The sequence below is a fragment of the Homo sapiens genome, chromosome 11 (genome assembly GCF_000001405.40).
Source record: "Homo sapiens chromosome 11, GRCh38.p14 Primary Assembly".
In the NCBI taxonomy this organism is placed as follows: Eukaryota; Metazoa; Chordata; class Mammalia; order Primates; family Hominidae; genus Homo; species Homo sapiens.
Window position 1 is genome coordinate 115,223,492 of NC_000011.10, and position 18,268 is coordinate 115,241,759.

At 37.8% G+C, this 18,268-nt stretch overlaps 1 protein-coding gene across 13 annotated transcripts in view; it reads right to left on the minus strand.

The window, feature by feature from the left end:
• CADM1 (cell adhesion molecule 1) overlaps positions 1–18,268 on the minus strand; it is a 335,180-nt gene that overhangs the window by 54,256 nt on the left and 262,656 nt on the right. For all 13 annotated transcript variants that reach the window (NM_001098517.2, XM_005271494.4, NM_001301045.2 and 10 more), the window contains exons 2-5: positions 16,783–16,929; positions 15,009–15,161; positions 7,862–7,999; positions 5,622–5,780 (exon numbers count right to left, since the gene is read on the minus strand). In NM_001098517.2, coding sequence (NP_001091987.1) covers positions 5,622–5,780; positions 7,862–7,999; positions 15,009–15,161; positions 16,783–16,929 — 597 coding nt within the window. The remainder of the gene's footprint in view (positions 1–5,621; positions 5,781–7,861; positions 8,000–15,008; positions 15,162–16,782; positions 16,930–18,268) is intronic.

An 18,268-nucleotide genomic window follows, 5' to 3' on the forward strand; every position in this document is an offset into this window, starting at 1 on the left:
CACAGCCACACAGACACATCTTTTACAAATACATTAAGGTCAGTGAGATGAGAGGAGGTGGTTCTTAGTAAAACAGGCCTCTTTCTGCAGGGTATGCATTCAGAAGGCAGGTATAAAGGCAAAGGCTTTTCCCTTAAGGGTTATTCCAGTCTTGCTCACGATGTATTTGCCCAACACTCACTCTTTGTATTTTGAATACTGGTTACTCAGCCTCTTGACACTTTTGGTACTGCAGATTGTATCACTAACAATCTATAGTCCTTATAATATCAGGAACTTGGAACCAACACTACTCTGTGTTAACACAAAGAAATAATAGGTTAAAAAATTAGCTTCAATCGGGGTTCTTCATTCCTTGATTATTTCTCATAAGGAATCATAAATACTAAAATAACCTCCCTGAAACTCAATTCACTGCTTTAAAAAAAAAATAAAAGGGAGAGTGGGAGGAAGAGCGTATTCCGTTTAAAAAAAAAAAAAAAAGAGAGAGAGAGAGAGAGAGAGACTGGAGATCAGAGAGAAACAGGCCAAATCTGAAAACGCCAGCTATTATGCTCTGAAGAATACAACCTGGAAACAGAATTGATGAGGGAGAGGATTTGACATAGAAGCTGCTCTTGGGAACTAAGTGTTATCCTCCACTCCAAATAGGAAAGATTTTCTGATTTCCAGGTTTTCCTCTCTCCTTCAATGCAGGGCACTATCGATACCAGAGAAACATTTATTTTGGCACAGATAAAGAACAGGTTTTGATCATCTCCTCAATGCCCAATTTTCCTCCAGTTGAGGGAATGAAAGAAAAAAAAAAATCTACCCTTCTCTGGACCTTGGATGAACAGGGCTATGGATTTATAAAATACCTAGCTACATTCAGTCAATAAAACTCATTTTGAAAATGATGCCCACGTATACAATTAACTGTCAGATGATAATCAGAGCAGGCATGGCATTCAAGCACCCATTTCTAGAGTCTTTGTTTTCATTCTTCTTTTCAAAACTCATCTCTGAGTTTTCTTTCTTTTTTTAAAATATGCACAAACACAAAACCCTCAAAAAATGAGGATTTTTGCCAAACATTTTAAAGAGCAAGGCTATGATGGGTGAAAGCAGAAGCCACACAGCAGTAATTCAAGAGCTTCATATTCACCCCAGTCCAGAGGAAGGCTTTCCTCCCTTGTGCAAAGCAATCTGAATTCCATACTGAGGGTCACAGCTTTTCTTTGAATTCCCAGCTTATGTCGCTATGTGTTGCCACCTTGATGCTATTTAGACAGTTTTCTCTTAACGCTCAGACAGTGAACTGTTCCCATTTAAACAGGCTTTTATTTGACAAGAGTACATTCCCTCAGATCTGAAGCTCTACTAACCGTGCTACAATTGTATCACACTCTGCTATAATCAACCATGTTGTAAATTTGGGCACCACCACCTGTACAGACATTCGCAAGAAAAAAATGCACTGAAAGATTTTAGGGTCATACAGCTCGGAACATTAAAAAGCAAAACTGTTCTCTGCATAACATCTAAGGAAAGAGAGCTTTGAGCTCTTCCAGCTTGGGAGCATAATTATTTTCTGTTTTAAACATTTAACTGTGTGCTGCTGCTGTACCCTTGCTGAGTCTCAGAATGAAAGCTAGAAAACTAAGAGACCTACTGTATGTTCTTCATTCCCGGCAACGTTCCTATGAGAAAACCTTATTAATGAGCTTGCAAACGAGCACCCAACAGGGAAATGTCACAAACAAGAGCGGCTAATGCCCCAGAAAATCAAATAACTGAACACTTGGCTGATTGTGGTGCCTTTCATATTTATAATAAAAAAGGGGGGGGGACTTTAATTCACTGATTCTGAAGGGGTCAACACCTTGCTGAACAAAACAACTCATTTATTTATGTTCAGAAATCTCCAGATGATAAATTACATTGATGTTAATCACTTCAATGCATACTACACAATTAATATCTGTACTCACCAAAAACTTAAGGATTATTAAAAGTATGACAGCATACACATCTGGCTGATTTTTCACATAATTGGGCACAACAATTTCTCCTGGTATCACAAATAAGGGTCCTAACAAACAAACACTGCAAAATCCTGGTTCAATTAATTAGGACTTAAATCCACAAGACAAAAGCAATTCCAAGTTGCAGCTCAAGCCTTGTCTTCTATGCCATATGGTAGCACTCCATTTTAAGGACAGAGGTGCAACACTTCCTTTCTTTTTATCCTTCCTCTCTTTTTTCCCTGTCTTACTTAAAGTAAGATATTTAATGACATATAACGCAGGTTTTCATTATTTCATTTCCTTTTTAATAGTATTTTTTAAAAATTACTTGATGTAGAATTCAAATCCATGATCTGTCATTTAACCCTATTCATGTCCTGGTTAACATCCATTCATCTTAGATGGGGATAAAGAGAGGTTTCCATAAACCTTCATGGTGTAAAATCAGCCAGGCTTAAACAAGTGAGCATATTTAATACCAATAGTATCAGATTAGATTTGCCCCCAAGGTAGCCTTATTTACTCGGAGTAGACTCTGAGGTCCATGAATGGGATCAGTATTTCCTAGTGATAACCTATTGTTTCTCACCGAGAACATAAGAAATCTTTTTAGGTGACAAAGGAAAGGACATTGAAAAATATTAGTTGTACATTTATTTTAAAGCTTATTAGACACTATATATAACAAATGAAATGTGTAATTTAATAGATATTTTTACATAGGCCCTGGTTAGGATAAAGCAATAAAGTGACTTAAAGAAAAATTCTAAATCAGGTAAAAATACAGATGATGCATGAACATGGCAAATTTGTGAAAGTGGTCCTCAAATAACTGAATTTAGGAAAACCCTGAGGGGTAAATGGACTCCTTAGATTGTAAGTAGAATATGGTGAATATGTGATTGTATTCATCTTTTCCAGGTCTATAGCTATCAAAGGGTTTTTAAAGGGGCCAATGATCCCCAAAAGGTTAAGAACTGCTGACTTCAACGGCATGAGTCAACATTAAAATACAGGTGCAATGTTACTCCTCACAGGCATCCAAAATAATTCAACCTCCATGCAGAGTGGCTACTGAATAAATTATTCTAGGAATCTCATGTATTCGAGTGTCTCTTCTTTCCTCATGGTCATCAAAATATGGTGCTACTTGTCTGCAGAGAGAGGACGGCTGTGGGGGGCACTGGAGTTGAGCCATCAACAGCACTGGGCAATGACTGATCAGACTTCAGGGCCCAGTGACTGAGTGCTTCAGGCATTTGAGGAATGAAACTTTTTGTTACTGCATAGCTGCTAGTGTTCAAGGAGAGTAAAGCTGGTAGGAAATGATGTAGAGAATTCCAACTGTGTTTGAAGAAGCTACAAAAGGAATTCCTGGCTGACTCTGCAAAGTTCTCAATAGTGCTCTAGGAGTGGAGGGTAGTGAACTTTCTTGAGCACAGAGAGCCTTACTTAAGATATCAAACCAGATGCGAAGTTCCATTCAGGTTAATATAATGCATTGTAATTATCTTAGCTTTCCTTTATACAAAAATATTTTTCCTTATGTATATTCTGAAAAGTGGAATAAAGGCTAAAATATTTGTATGATTTTCTTGGATAAAAAACAGAGTCTCCCACAAAAAGGTGCCATATTAGAGTTTAAAGTATCAATTGGTGCATCCTTGTTTTTGGAGGGCATTAGAGTCACTTTCCTGCAATTAAAGGCTCGCAGTACTTTGTTAGATTGAAGTCAAATGGATTCAGATGTGGAGCCTTATTCCTTGTCTTAGAATCTACAGATTATGGAAACCAAGGCTTATAAGGATCATTATCAAGTTTTCCAAGGAGTAGGAGGTGTAGCGCTTGAAATATTTTGCATTTGGGAGTGAGGGTAATTTGGTAGGTGGGTGGGACTATATTCTATTTAAAAGATATTCTGGGAAAATACTGAAAGAGTTTAGGGGTGGAAACTGGGTGAATATCTACTCAGGACGTACAAAGGAGCTAATGTATTATTAAAGCTAATGGGCCCCTACAAGGAAAGTTAATGGATATTAAGTTTGCTTAAATGAATTACATATTAACAAAGTCACAAGAAATCTACTATCTGCTAATTTAGATAATATCTGATCATTTCCGTTTTCCCATTATAGGGACATTATACCACAATAGTTTTAGTGATATGAAAATTATAAGCATGATGCCCATATTGAAGCAGATTAAATGAATTAACGAGGAAACCCTGCATTATGTAATGTTAAATTGAGCCAAGCTCACGGAGTTAAGAAAAGGTTGGAATGGGATGGTTTCTTAGAAGCAACTTTTTATAACTTTTCCTGCCTTCCCATTTTGCTCAGATCATTTAGACAAATAATAGGGCTTGTATGGAGTTGAATGGTGGCTCCCAAAGATAAGTCCATGTTCTAACCCTTGGAATCTGTGACTGTAGCTGAATTTGGAAAAAAAGTCTTTACAGATGAAATCAGCTTAAGGATCTCAAGATGAGGCCATTCTGGATTATCTGGGTGAGCCCTACATCCAATGACAAGTGTCCTCAGAAAAACACACAGACGAGAGACCCACAGAGGAGAGGGGAAGGTCATGTGACGATGAAGGCAGAGAGTGGAGTGGTGAAGCCACAAGTTAAGGCGCTCCTGGGACTCCTAGAGCTGGAAAAATCAATGAACGATCCATCCCTACAGTCTTTGTGGTGGGAGGGGGTGTGGTCCTGCCAAAACCTTGATTTTGGACTTCTGGCCTAAAGCGTTGTAAGGAAAGAAGTTTCTGCTATTTTAAGCTACCAAGTTTGTGACAATTTGTTATGGCAGCCCTAGGAAATTAATCCAATGATTCACAAAGGGTAAAGCTTTTCCTTTATCAGACATCCAATCACTACCATCCCAACCAAACTCTGGTAACATTTCAGTATGCATACTCAAAGATCACCTTGATTTTTCAGAAGCCAAATACAAAGTGAGAAGCTGGCTACTTAGCCACAACCTTGGCATAAGAATGGCTTTGTGCAGAAAAAGACTTTTTCCTTTTAAGCAGAAGGGTCCAGAGGAGAAGATGAGGAAAACATATTCAGTCTACAGGGCATGGTAAGGAGAAAACCTCACTCACTACAATCTAGCTTTTATTGATGAAGCCATCAAGATTGTGGCAATGATCCCAAAGAGTCGACTTTTCAACTCATTGCTCTAATTTAAGCTAAAATAGAGGAGGAATGTCATTTAAAACAAAATGCCGACGTAAATGGGAAAAAAATCCCTTCTATAAAAACTTCAGTACTTATGATGGGATAAAAAAAGGGGGAAAATTACCCTAGATTTTGCAGTTGGCATAGAAATGATGACAGTCTATATGCAAAGAAATTAATTAAGTCACGTGTTAGAGCAGATTGATATTATTTCAGTTTTACCTTTGGGTTCAATGTAGCATTTTCAAATCCTCATTGGCACTCTGTAATATGGCAGTACAATATTTCAATAAAATAATCCTTTATTTTTCTAGCAAAAATAAGAATTCTATGTATACTATATAAAATGAATGCATTGAATAAATGGCTTCTGAAGAGTTTCTATGTAACTGCAACTCTACGCCCTCAGAATAAGATACCAGGGTACTCACACTGTACTTCTAGATACCGCTGGGTCTGCAGGTTTCCAGTGACCGCAGGGTGCTCCACCTGGCAGATCACTGGGACCCCATCGTCCTCCTTGTGCACCTTCAGCATCAGCTGACTGGTCACAGTGTACATGTCTGACCACTCTTCCACCTCCGATTTGCCTGGGGAACAGAAAATGTACCAAGACACCAGAGTTGGGTGAATTTCCATCAGTTTGTTTTTATGTCCTCCCCTCTGTCCTCTAACCCCAACATTGCTATTTTAACAAATATGATGGCAGTTACTTGGGATGAGAGTAACCTGTGGATAGTTACCTGATAAAGTTTTTATTTCCTTAATTTATGACTTTTCAACCAGGCAGCATAGTATTTAAGATATATTTCAAGTCCAAATACCATACACTATTTTTACTGAAATATATTATGTATGGTTTTTCTATCTTAAAACCTCCCAGAAAAAGACAGCTGAAAGTTGAAACATTCTGACATCTGGCTGCTCAAGGTATTCAGGAGGAGAAAAAGAAAAATGTTTTTCACCCCTACAACCATCTGAACTTGAAATATTGACTAGGCTGTCATGCCATTTAGAAATTCTAGGATATTATCCAAATCCCCTAAGTAATTCAACAAGCAGTAGAGTTACAAACAACCCCCTTTGCCTACTCCCATCATCAACAATTAAGAGAGAAAGTAACTAAATGGATTTACATAATTGAAATTGTAATTGAAATGTTTAAACTCTGAGACTTTTGGAAGACCTCAAAAATGCAGTGGCAGTGGGCTAGAGCAAAGTAAGATACAGGGCTTGGGGCCAGATGGGAGACACATCCAAGAACACCCAGAAAAGGAGGGAGGAGGCTTCCGGATGGAATGAATAGGCCAAGGCAGTCCCTTCCTGAACTCAGCACTCCCAGGAACATGGCACACCATTAACTTTCTTTTAATGTTTTGTACTTATCGGTACACATTTAATGGCTGAATTCACTTAGACAGAAAAGCAGAGAGGAAATGAGAAACTCCTTCCTTCCAAAACCATACCTAGGAAGTAGGAGATTAAAACAGAACAAGCTTCTTGAAACTTAAGCTGTTATATATAGATTTATCTGCTTCCAGATATAGATTTCTATATCCTCTTTCTAAAAGGGCTGATTCTTTCATTTCTCACGCTCTTTATTTATTTAACAAGCACATATACAGCACTTACTTTGGCCCAAGTATTAGCTAAATACTTTACAACTATTCCCTCTTTTCATCTTCATAAAAATTCCATAAAGTATGTAATACGATTAACCCTATTTTAGAGGAAACTGAAGCATGCCACTAGCATTTCTGTCAAACAATTAGAGGAGTTCAGCCCCTAAGACCTTTGTGCAGGGTACTACCTGCAGGGTAACTTTGAAAAGGAAGGAATCTCAATGCAGAAATACATGCGGAATTTAAGATAACTGGCAAAAAATGGTCAAATAGGGTATAGGCTGTCTCCTTTATCTGATGCAACACCTGAGGTGCCAGGTATTTGAGGATCCAGGACCCGAACCCGGGATGGCCCAGTACAGAGGTAAAGATGATCAGAATGGGGCTGAAGGAGCTGCCTTGTACTGTCATCACAAAATCACAGCCTGCATAAGAACAGACTGGTGAATTGGGCAACTGAATCACAAATTTCACAAGAAAGGTGGTCCCTGTAAATTCACAATTTAGATGAAACTGTTAGTCCACTTAGTGCAACCACTCTTGCAGGAAAGCATATAGTCAACACAGGTGATAGTGCAATAGACGTCAGAATGACTTGGAATTTACCATATGAAAGACTGTTAAACATTTTTTTAAATGTATACCCTGAAAATGTGGGCTTCTGGTCCCCTCTAGGTCTCTGCAAAAGACAGGGTAAAAGCAATTAGAATTGAAGGTACAGACAGAGACAGCCTGAGCTCAGGAGACAGCCCTCATGAAAATTTTTCCTAGCCTAAAGAGTTCTAGTTTACAGTTTTAGTTCTTTCTGGGCATCTGAGTAGAGCGACAGCTATCACCATGAACCCTCAAACAGCAGAATGAGGACATGGATTAGAAGAATAAAATGCTTTTATGCTTTGGCCTCAGACATATTTAGTAACTGATTATAAACCATATCTAAATGAATACTTTTGTTTCATGGGCATGTTTTGTATTTCTCCATGATTTTCACAAAGGCATATCTGCTAGAATCAGCTAACTACTTCAGTGTGTGGCAATCTGCAGCTTACCTTTTAGCTCTGTGTTCCCTTTGAACCACCTGATAGTCGTGGCTGGCTTGCTGGCCATAGCAGTGCAGTTGACTTCAATCTCCTCACCTTCCACCGCAGTGTCTTTCTGGATATCGATCATCAGATTACGTGGTGGGACTACAAATTAAACATATGTGCTTTATAAACACAGAATGCATTTTTGCATTGTTGCTATCAAAAAGGAGAAAAACAGTAGACATTCCTGATGGGAATTTAAATCATCACAAGAGGCGAAAAAGAAATACAAAGTAATCATCAAATAAAGTGAGTTATGCAAAATCAGTTAATTTAGAATTTCTATCCTAAATTTATGTTATAAAATAACCAGTGTGGCTGGGCATGATGGCTCACATTTGTAATCCCAGAACTTTGGGAGGCCGAGGCGGGCAGATTACCTGAGGTCAGGAGTTTGATATCAGCCTGACCAACATGGAGAAACCCCATCTCTATTAAAAATACAAAATTATCCGGGCACGGCGGCACATGCCTGTAATCCCAGCTACTTGGGAGGCTGAGGCAGGAGAATCGCTTGAACCTGGGAGGCGGAGGTTACAGTGAGCCGAGATCGTGCCATTGCATGCCAGCCTGGGCAACAAGAGCGAAACTCCGTCTCAATAATAATAATAATAATAATAATAATAACAACAACAACAACAACAACCAATGTCTCACTCTTATCACTGAGCACATTATATCAATATAGATATTAGTCACCAGTCATTCAAAAATTAACCAGAAAGTAGATATAAAAGGGGAGTACATGCTATTGAAATGATCATCCTTACCAGGAAACCCCAGAAAGCAGTATTTCTCCTTGAACTCAACTCTTGAATTTCAATCTTCAAATGAAAGATTCCAAAGTCAACGGAGCAAAGATAAAAATCTTTGAGTCCCTTAAAAGAATCACTCACCATAAAATGCACAGAAAAATTGTCTCAAACCAGTTCCATGTAATCAAATAATTCACAGAGATCCAGAATGTAATCATAACCTCTGATGGATAATGTAGTAATAAAGTCCTTTGGATATGAAGATGCAGTAATATAAGAAATGCCAATTAGTTTGCAGCAATTTTCCATATTCTGAATTCCAGTGCTCCAATTTTGGAAACCAAAGACGAAAGAGACTCTTAAGTGCTTATAAGTAGATTTACATATCAGAATTACAACCACCCTTCTGTAAGCATATTAAACATATATGTGATAAAATGGTCAAAATAACGGATTGGGAAGTTAAAGTACTGACTATCAAATCAAGAGTATGTAGTGTGATAGTGATAGTGATGGTGACAATGATGATGATGATAAAATATGTTATCTTTTATGAAACTGAGTTGACAGTAAAATTTCATATGCAACCTTACCTCAGGACTGAGCCTGTTGAAATAAAAATCAGTAAGAATACTGAATTTAGTACAGTGAATCTAAGAATATATGTCCTGACCACCATGAATAAGCAAAGACAGTTCCGAGACTTATGATTAATAAGTTTCTCAACTCAGAAGAGAAACAAGAAATTAAATATGTATAAACATGCCATCCTGATGATCAAGTTGAATAATAAATCTCTGATACTGCTTCAATAAATTATGGTATTAAACCAAGTATTTGGGATTTCCAACTGTTCTAGTCCACAATGTGAAAATTCTGCCCAAAGGAAGACTTTTACACTGAATTGGAGCAGTTGAAAATTCCTATAGAGAATGATAGAAAAGTAAAAGTAAAATGATTTGTTGCACATACTTCCTTAGCAAGATAGTGTTTGGTGGTGGTGGTGGCGGGGGGTGTAATGAGCAGAGCCAAAGGATCCCTCTTCTTTGTTTCCCGTGTACAAGGAAAACAACATTGCTCAAATGGATGTGTTGCTAATATGATATGGCCCAAATGAGTAGTTAAACATGGCAAAGAACTACCCTAGTCTACATTTTAAGAAAAAATAAACAAAAAGATAATTTAACATCTAATTTAGAGTTTCACATCTGCTAGCATTTTATGAGACACAGAAAGGCTTTAACAAAAGAAATGGAATGACTTCAACTAGCTGTATCTTTCACATAGTTCATCCATGCTAGATGACAGTCACGTAGGTTATAGATTTTCATCATACATACCTAGATGGTTGATAGGGGATACACAGAGAGACTAGATGTTTAGGACTAATAAATACTACTGCATTCTGAGTGCAGTATTATAGGAATATTTTTTACATGCTATTGTTAGATCAAATGTCAGAGGAAAAGCCTAAAGAAAATAAGACCTTAAAGAGTGGTATAAGAAAAAATGAAAACAACTAAGGTGTAACAAATATAGGAGTGTCTTCTCAACTAAGGAAGGAATGAAAGTAAAAAAAAAAAATACCTTTCAAGGTCCAGGAAAAAATAGGAGTGATGAAAATAATTTTTCATGTTGAAATATGCAGTGGTTCCTAATGAGAACTGTAATGGAGCAATGTAACTGATGGGATAGGAACTTAGGAAGGTGGCTCTCTTAGTATGTGACAAAGAGGGCAAATGGCTAAAGCCACTGGCAACCCGGGAAATCCCTAGGGAATGGACCAGATCAGATCCCACTTTATCTGTATAACTTTGGGAGAAACACTTTGATGCTCCCTCTGTGGAAACACGGGAATCTTCTTGATGCGACAGTCCAGCAGTTGTTAAAAGACTCCTCTATGTATCTCTGTTGAGTCTTAGTGGAATTTACCCTCAAACATACTCAGATGGTTGTTTCCTGTGTTCCTGGATACCTTTCCTTTATTCTCTGAGTTTTCAGGCTGAGCCTGGAAACCCCTTGTCTCTGTTTACCCCAAGCTTCTCCTAACCTTCACTACCTCGTTCATCTTCAATGATATTTCTCAGTGGAAAGTCTTTATTGCCTCCATTTGGTTCATAAAGATGAGGGTGTGTTCCTTCCACATTATCAATAACGTCTGCTGGTCCAAAGTAAGGAAATGAAAAGGGACAGGTACAGATAAGGATCGAGGAAAATTCACCAATGTCTCCTCCAGATTTCGTTTGGGGGCTGAGATCCTGACAGGCAGCTAGGTCCCCATCTGGATTATTTGTTGTTTGGCATTATCCAAACAACTGCAACAGATAAATTCTACTCTGTAACTCTTCAGAGTGAGTCCTGAACCAGTGCTAGTTCCTAGGATTATATGCCCAAAGAGCTGACATCATCTTCAAATTTAAGGCTAAGGTAAAAATGTGGAAAACTTCAGAAGCATTAGAAAATGTGCCCAGGTTTGAAGTGGCTCACGCCTGTAATGCCAGCACTTTGGGAGGCTGAGGTGGGTGGATCACCTGGGGTCAGGAGTTTGAGACCAGCCTGGCCAACATGGTGAAACCCTGTCTCTACCAAAAATACAAAAATTAGCCAGGTGAGGTGGCGGGCACTTGTAGTTCCAGCTACTCAGCAGGCTGAGGGAGGAAAATCACTTGAACTCAGGAGGCGGAGGTTGAAGTGAGTCAAGATCACGCCATTGCACTCCAGCCTGGGCGACACAGGGAGACTCCGTCTCCAAAAAAAAAAAAAAAAAAAAAAAAAAAATTTGCCCAGTGTAGAAAAATGAAGGGCTTATTCATTGTTGAGATCACCATCCTGTGAAATCACTGAATGATTTTTTTTTCCAAGCCCATAAATAGTTTTCTCAAGATTGTGACCAGTATTTCTGATCTTAGCTAAGGTTAGAAGAAGAAACAGGCATGTATACTGGGAGTTGTTTGGTTTATAAAATAAAATCTGATATTGTGAATCATAATAGTTTATTGATATGTTACAAAGCTGACTTTGCTCAGTTTTTTTTTTTTAAGAGCAAGAAAGCTTTCAAAAATATAAATGAGGTGATTTAAATCTGCTTTTCTGAAAAAAAAAGGGTTGGACAAGAAAATCTTAAAACTTATTTGGTCTATTAATTCTATCCTGTTTTTCCTTTAGCTTCACAATGTCTACTCTAATACAAAAGGTTAGTAAAGTATAAAAATCCATTTATAAGAAAAATGAATTAAAACTGCTGCTAACCAGAGAATATACTTATGCATGGTCCACTAAACAGGCACATTTAGTAAAAACTGCCTGCAGCCATTAATGAAAATAACCAAAGATATTTCTAAGGAGGTGCATATAGATGAAAACCTGAATGAAAATCACATAGAGGGAAATACTAGAAAACAGTAATGAAATGTCAAGGTTCTTCTCAGCTAACCTCAAATCTATAAGAGTGCTAATTATAAACATTACGCCTACAACATTTAACAAAAATCAGCAATATCAAGATGAGTCACATTAATTACAACAAAAGAGGAGTCTTAAAGCTGATCCAGTATGTGAAATCTCACTCTAAGACCCTTTAAAATAATTAGGTTCTCCTGTTCCTGGAATCTTAAGAACGAACACTAATCTTAGAAGGACAGGACTGTGATAATATTAGCTACTATTACCAGTAACTATATTAATCTTAAAGAAGTGTATTCTCTGTCTCATTCATCTCCTCTTATGAATAGTAGTATAAAGAGAGTCCTACGGTATGTTCTGGAGAAAGAAACAAAATCGTCACAAGTGGAAGGAATGAATGAATATCCTTAAAGGCAACAAATGCATACAAAATATCATAGGAGAGTCTTCAGATTTTACATGGATAAGATCATGAGCATAATAGTAACTATAGAATAGCATAGACAACATTAACAAGTACCCGCCTCCATATCTTATAATTATGCTGAAGTTTTTACTGAATGTATCAAATAACTAATAGACACATGCACTAAAATGAGCATCTTCAACCTATCAAGAAGTTTGACAGCTGTGTAAGTACGCATGGAGTCCTTTTCAGAGAACTGAAGATAGCAACGAAGATGCTACTGTCATTCTTCATTCATTGTAATATCTGAAAACTCTAAACCTTACGAGAAACGTTGGAATATACGAGTATCAGTGGAAATTGTCAGATTTTGGAAAATGAAGGACTCAAACACTGATGACAACAATTTTACTCTGTCAAGGAATCCTAGAGTAAATTAAATGGAAAGAATATTAAGTGAATGAATAATATCTACAGAAAGAATATCTACTACTTTTTATACTTGAAAGTGCTACTTTCAAGTATATTTAAGTTAATACTTCTATAAAATACAAGTAGGAACCTATTACTTCTAGAATAATCAGACCTCCAAAAGGATTACAGGCATAATGCCTCTCAAAATTCTAGTGCTGGCACACTGGCTCCCAAGCACATGGTGTATTCGGAGCCAAACTGATCCAAAGCAGTTGTTTTGAGAATAAATGTATCAGGCACCAGAAAATGACAGGCAGTAGTAACTGCTTGCCAATGGCTAGACATACTCCTGAAAACAAAAGATGTGTGCCTTTAGGAAAAAAAAAAATTTAAAACAAAAGCATTCGGTATTTAACTGAAAACAACCTAGACTGGAAGACACAAAGGTTGTAATTTTAAGACAGAATTGTAAGATTTATTCTGAATTCTAAGATTTTTGGTTCTTACTGAGTGCTTTGTAACCTGGGCAAGATGTCTAACATCTGTTATTATCATTTTACTTCTGTGAAAACAACATATAAATACGTAAAGGTATATGTAGTAAAATACTCTGAAAATTCAAAATGCCATAAATAGATTTTATTTTATGACTGTCACTTTTGTGGAAATGCCATAAACGATGATGAGTCAAAGGGTGGATGAGTGGATAGTCAATTTGAAGTCTATGCTGCTAATGACTTACTCCAATAAGCAAAGAGCATTTTCAAATACTCTGATACAAGCAGACAGACAGAAAACTTCAAATTTATGCTTGCGAATTTGGTACATCTGCAAAATACCAAAATAGTCATCCCACTAAAACCTCCCATGCTTACTATTTCTACAGGTCTAATCTGGAGTAAAACCACAATAGTGACAAATATGAATACGTGAAAGCCATCTATCATTAAACACAGACCAGATTAGAAATTGTATGGACTGGTTTTAAACACATCTTTCTAAAATTGATACTCCTCTTGTCAAAAACATATATGTGAGCATTAGGGTTATGTTTTAGCTTAATGAATAAAAAAAATTTCCCTTCTACAGCTGTGTTGAAGTAAAGTAATGAGGCAGCAGCTCAATATGTACATCCATAAATACATATATGTGCACACATACCAAGCAAAAATGTCCTTCATATTTATCTTTCCTCTTTAATCTTCCTATCATTACACTGAAAAGCTGCAGTCTGCCGCCTCAAATAGACTTTGATTCATCATCTTCCCGAAGGTGTAAATCAGAGATCTTGCCTCATGCTATAGTGTATGTCCTTGAAAATTCAGTTTCAAGAATCCAAATCAGCTGGTGTTATGCAGTAGAGTAAGCTTGTCTAAAGGTGACTAATTCAGACCACCTTCAACATAGAAATATCTGCTGACTATATTAAAATTGAACATGGAAACCTGGCTACTAGGATTTTGCTGAAACTCACAATCTGGTGATCATAAATGAAGACACTCAGCTCACTGGAGGTGTACCTAGCAGCCCGTCAACAGTTCTTTGCTTATTACCAGTTAAAGTGCTCTTAACTCTTTTATGTCCAATGACTGCAATTTGTGGCAAAGTATATGTTCATGGAGTATGATTTTTTTACAGCATAATCTAGAGTATAAGCAATAAACAAGGCCGTAAGTCAAGCCAATGAAAAGGAGATCAACAATATTAAAACGAGGATGTAACTCAGAAGGAAAAATCATTACGTGGATTTCATAACTGAGCTCTGCCATGGGGTATAGATTTGGTAGCCCATCTCCCCTTCTCCTGCACACAAGGAAGAAAAAAATCCCGGTAGTTAGAAGTAATAACATTTCATGTGGTGAGTGATTCATTTGAGGGCTCTAAATTCTCTTGATCTTTGCTTCTGAAGCTTGAGGGTTGAAACCCAAGAGCAGGTGGAATCTATAAAGACTGCTGATTGCCATTCCTTACAGCATTTGGTAAAATAGGCTATTTTTAAAATTCAGCAAGATGGGCGGTGATTCTTCCTGAAACAAGTTTGAACAGGAGAATTCACCATTAACCTTTTCCTTGCTGCTGTAAAAGGGCCATCTCTATTCCATTTCCCCGGGTAAGCCCCACATGCGTTTCTTACCCAGGACTGTGATGGTGGTGTAACTTTCCTGTGGGGGATCGGTATAGAGCTGGCAAAAGTATCTTCCTTCATCAGAAATTGAGACGTTTGTCAATGATACTTTGAGTTCACTGCTAGAAAAATTCAGCAACTGAAACCTGCTGTCCTTCAAAGCTGTGAAACAAAACAGAGAGTTAGTGATTGTGAGAAGGTGGACGGACAGTCTATTTTCCTTAATTATTTATTACATCTTGCTGTATCTGATACTTCTTGACTTACTATTTTGGGTGTTTGCAGTAACTTCATGTAGACAAATAACCTTGTCCAAAGGAAACTTACACATATCAGTGTATGTGTGAGTGTGTGTGTATGTGTGCGTGTGCATATATATATATATGCACACATATATATATATGCACACACACCCAGCTACGCACCCTTCTAACTTGGCACAATTCCAAATGCTGTCAGTTTTCAGCACTTACTCATACATGTTTTCAGGTTTTATACTAGAGATAGACAAAAAGAAAACAAAGGGAAAAAGCAGGTCATGAGTCCCCTGAAGCAGGGAGTGCCAGGGCCCCCTAGCCTTTGGGCACTGGAAGTTCAGGGACTAGGGCCTACAGCCTTTTAAAATGCCTCAAAAATTGTAAGTAAGGCCTTCAAAAAACAAGGGTTTCAAATTATGAAACAGAACTAAAAAAGCCTTCATATTAATTACAAAAGCAACATGAAAAATTATTTTAAAAACTTATAATCTAATAGCAAAATAAACCTAATCAACTTGGATGCACCTTAACATATTTGACGTGATTTGAGGTGGAGCTGCCAAAAGTGGATGACCTCGAGCCTACGGAGGCCTTAAACTGGTCCTGTGGTTTCCTAAGTACATTTGGCTTCACAGTATGAAACTGATTAAGCATTAAGCAGGAAATCAAAATCACTGCAAAACTGATACATGTGGGCCTCTTATTTAGTTCAAATGTTCTCTTTCAAAATCCTTTCTTAATTTTGGCAAAGACTAACTTAGTATATGACAAAAATTAACTTTAAGAAAAGAAGCTGGCTTATTTCCTTTTATCTTTCCTCAACCTTTTAAATGTTCCTTAGGTTTATCAACGTTTTCCACAGGTCATGAATGACCCTGAGGTATTGGGGAGGAAGGGGACAAGCAGCTGGGAAGAGACATGCTTCGCTTTGGTTAGGCACCGATGCTCTCCAATAACAGTTTTTGGTTTTTTTTTTTTTCAAAAGATTTGATTCTTGCTCTTACTAAGCCCTGACACTGATATGAACCATTTCTATTCTATACAAGTCCATTGCAATTTTGTTTTTTGTGATATTACATTTGGAAAGATTTCAGCATGTGGACACTTCTATATGCCAAAGGCTATGATGAGAGAAGACTTGGTTTTATGCTTATAGGCATTTATTGCCTTGGAAACTTCAATCTTCAAACCAAAGGGATTACCTTTCAGAATGCTGTATTTTCCTTGCCTTACCCTGTTGAGTTGTTTGTGTCAGCTAAGTATTTGGGACTCGATTGCAATTCACCTTGAATTACTACAATCAATTTCTATTGCAAAGTAAGACTGCCTTACTTTTAAAAGGGGCCATTCAAGGTTTCTATTAAGTAGAAAGATTATGATTGCCTGTCTCTTCTTCCCTCTAAAGAACTGACTAAACTTTAAGCATCTAACATTAAATTTAAAAAAGGTGGCCTTAGCAATCTCTTTATCAAGACAACATGTAGGTAAAAAAGTTGCCATCTACAACTATAGAGATGGAAACTTACGCCTGAAGTCCCTGAAATAAATGGTCTGCCTGTTGGGATTCAGTAGCTGAATCACAGAGTCGTCACTCTTATTGACTTGGCAACTGATGGTCGCAACCTCTCCCTCGATCACTGTCACGTCTTTCGTAAACAGATTCTGCCCATCACCTTAAAAAAAGGGAAGAAAAGGTCAGAGGAAAATTTCCATCAATTAAAATGTGATCAGTGGGATCTATTAAAGTGGGAACTAGGCATATTAGAAAATGAACACAAGTAGCAACATTTAGCATGGCTCTAATACCTTTCTTTGTAGTCTACAAAACGAGTCTGTTAATCGAAGACAGATCAAGGGACAAAATACAACTAAGCCTGGAATCATCATACTCTCAAAAGCTGTGGTACAAAAGGTTTCAGCCTCTAGTACTTTGTACTAGTTGAGTAGTATATTGAGGAGGTATTGGAAAGGTCAGAGTACCAGCTTTTGTGAATGCTGAATCTCTCACAAATGGAGTAGGGAAGATAGACACAGCCAACTTTAGCTTACCTGCCCTTGAGCTAAGCTATTTGGTCAGCCTCACAGAAACTCAAGGAGCCACTTAATAGAAGTAGGTAGGAGGGTTCAATAAATAATCTCGTCTTGTTAGTTGATGTTGACAGTCCCAATGTATAGGCAGTTCATCGTGTGTGAGTGAGTGACTCTTTGGGATCTCGATGAAATCCTGGGAAGGCTTAGGGTTCGGAGTTTGTTACTCTGCTCTCCGAAACTCACACCTTCATGATTCACCCAAAGCCCCAGGCATCTCTGAACTGACACCCCTATCTGCAAATCACCCCCCACCCCCTGCCAGCCATTTAGAAAATCTCCCTCAGAACATGTCAAAAAGTCGAGGCTTTCAGATTCACTGATATATAAGGATTATCTTCAGATCTGCCCTAGTTTGTTGCTTCTAAGATTAGTGACGGCAGCCTGGGCCACCTCATAAATGTCCTAAATGATCCACCGTACAGGTAGGAGGAGAAGTGAGTTCAACTCAGAACCAAAGGATGAAGTAATTCTCCAGTGTTCAATGTCACACCTGGCATAGTAGGGGATACAGAAGTATATGTTGTCCTAGCCTTTAAGAAGCTGCCACGTGGGTGAAAACCGATACCTTATCCCTACTTACAGAACAAAAAGTGTGGTATAGGCAGTAGATGTAATGGTCAATTGGGAAGGGGAGAGAGAGAGACTGCTTTTTAGCTGTGTGATCTCTGGAAAATTAATTAAAGTCCCTGAGCCAGTTTCCCATCTGAAGAATGGGGATAGTAATTAAAAGCTATCTCACAGGGCTGATGGGGGGATGAAAAAGGATAATAAATATAAAGCATTTAGCACTGTGTCTAGTTTCTCATAAAAGTGAATAAATGGCAGCTGCTGCTATCATCATCATCGTCATCATTTCTCTAGACATCAAATACAAAGATTTATTAAGCCATTATGCATTGGGAGTAGTGTGGATCCAAGAAT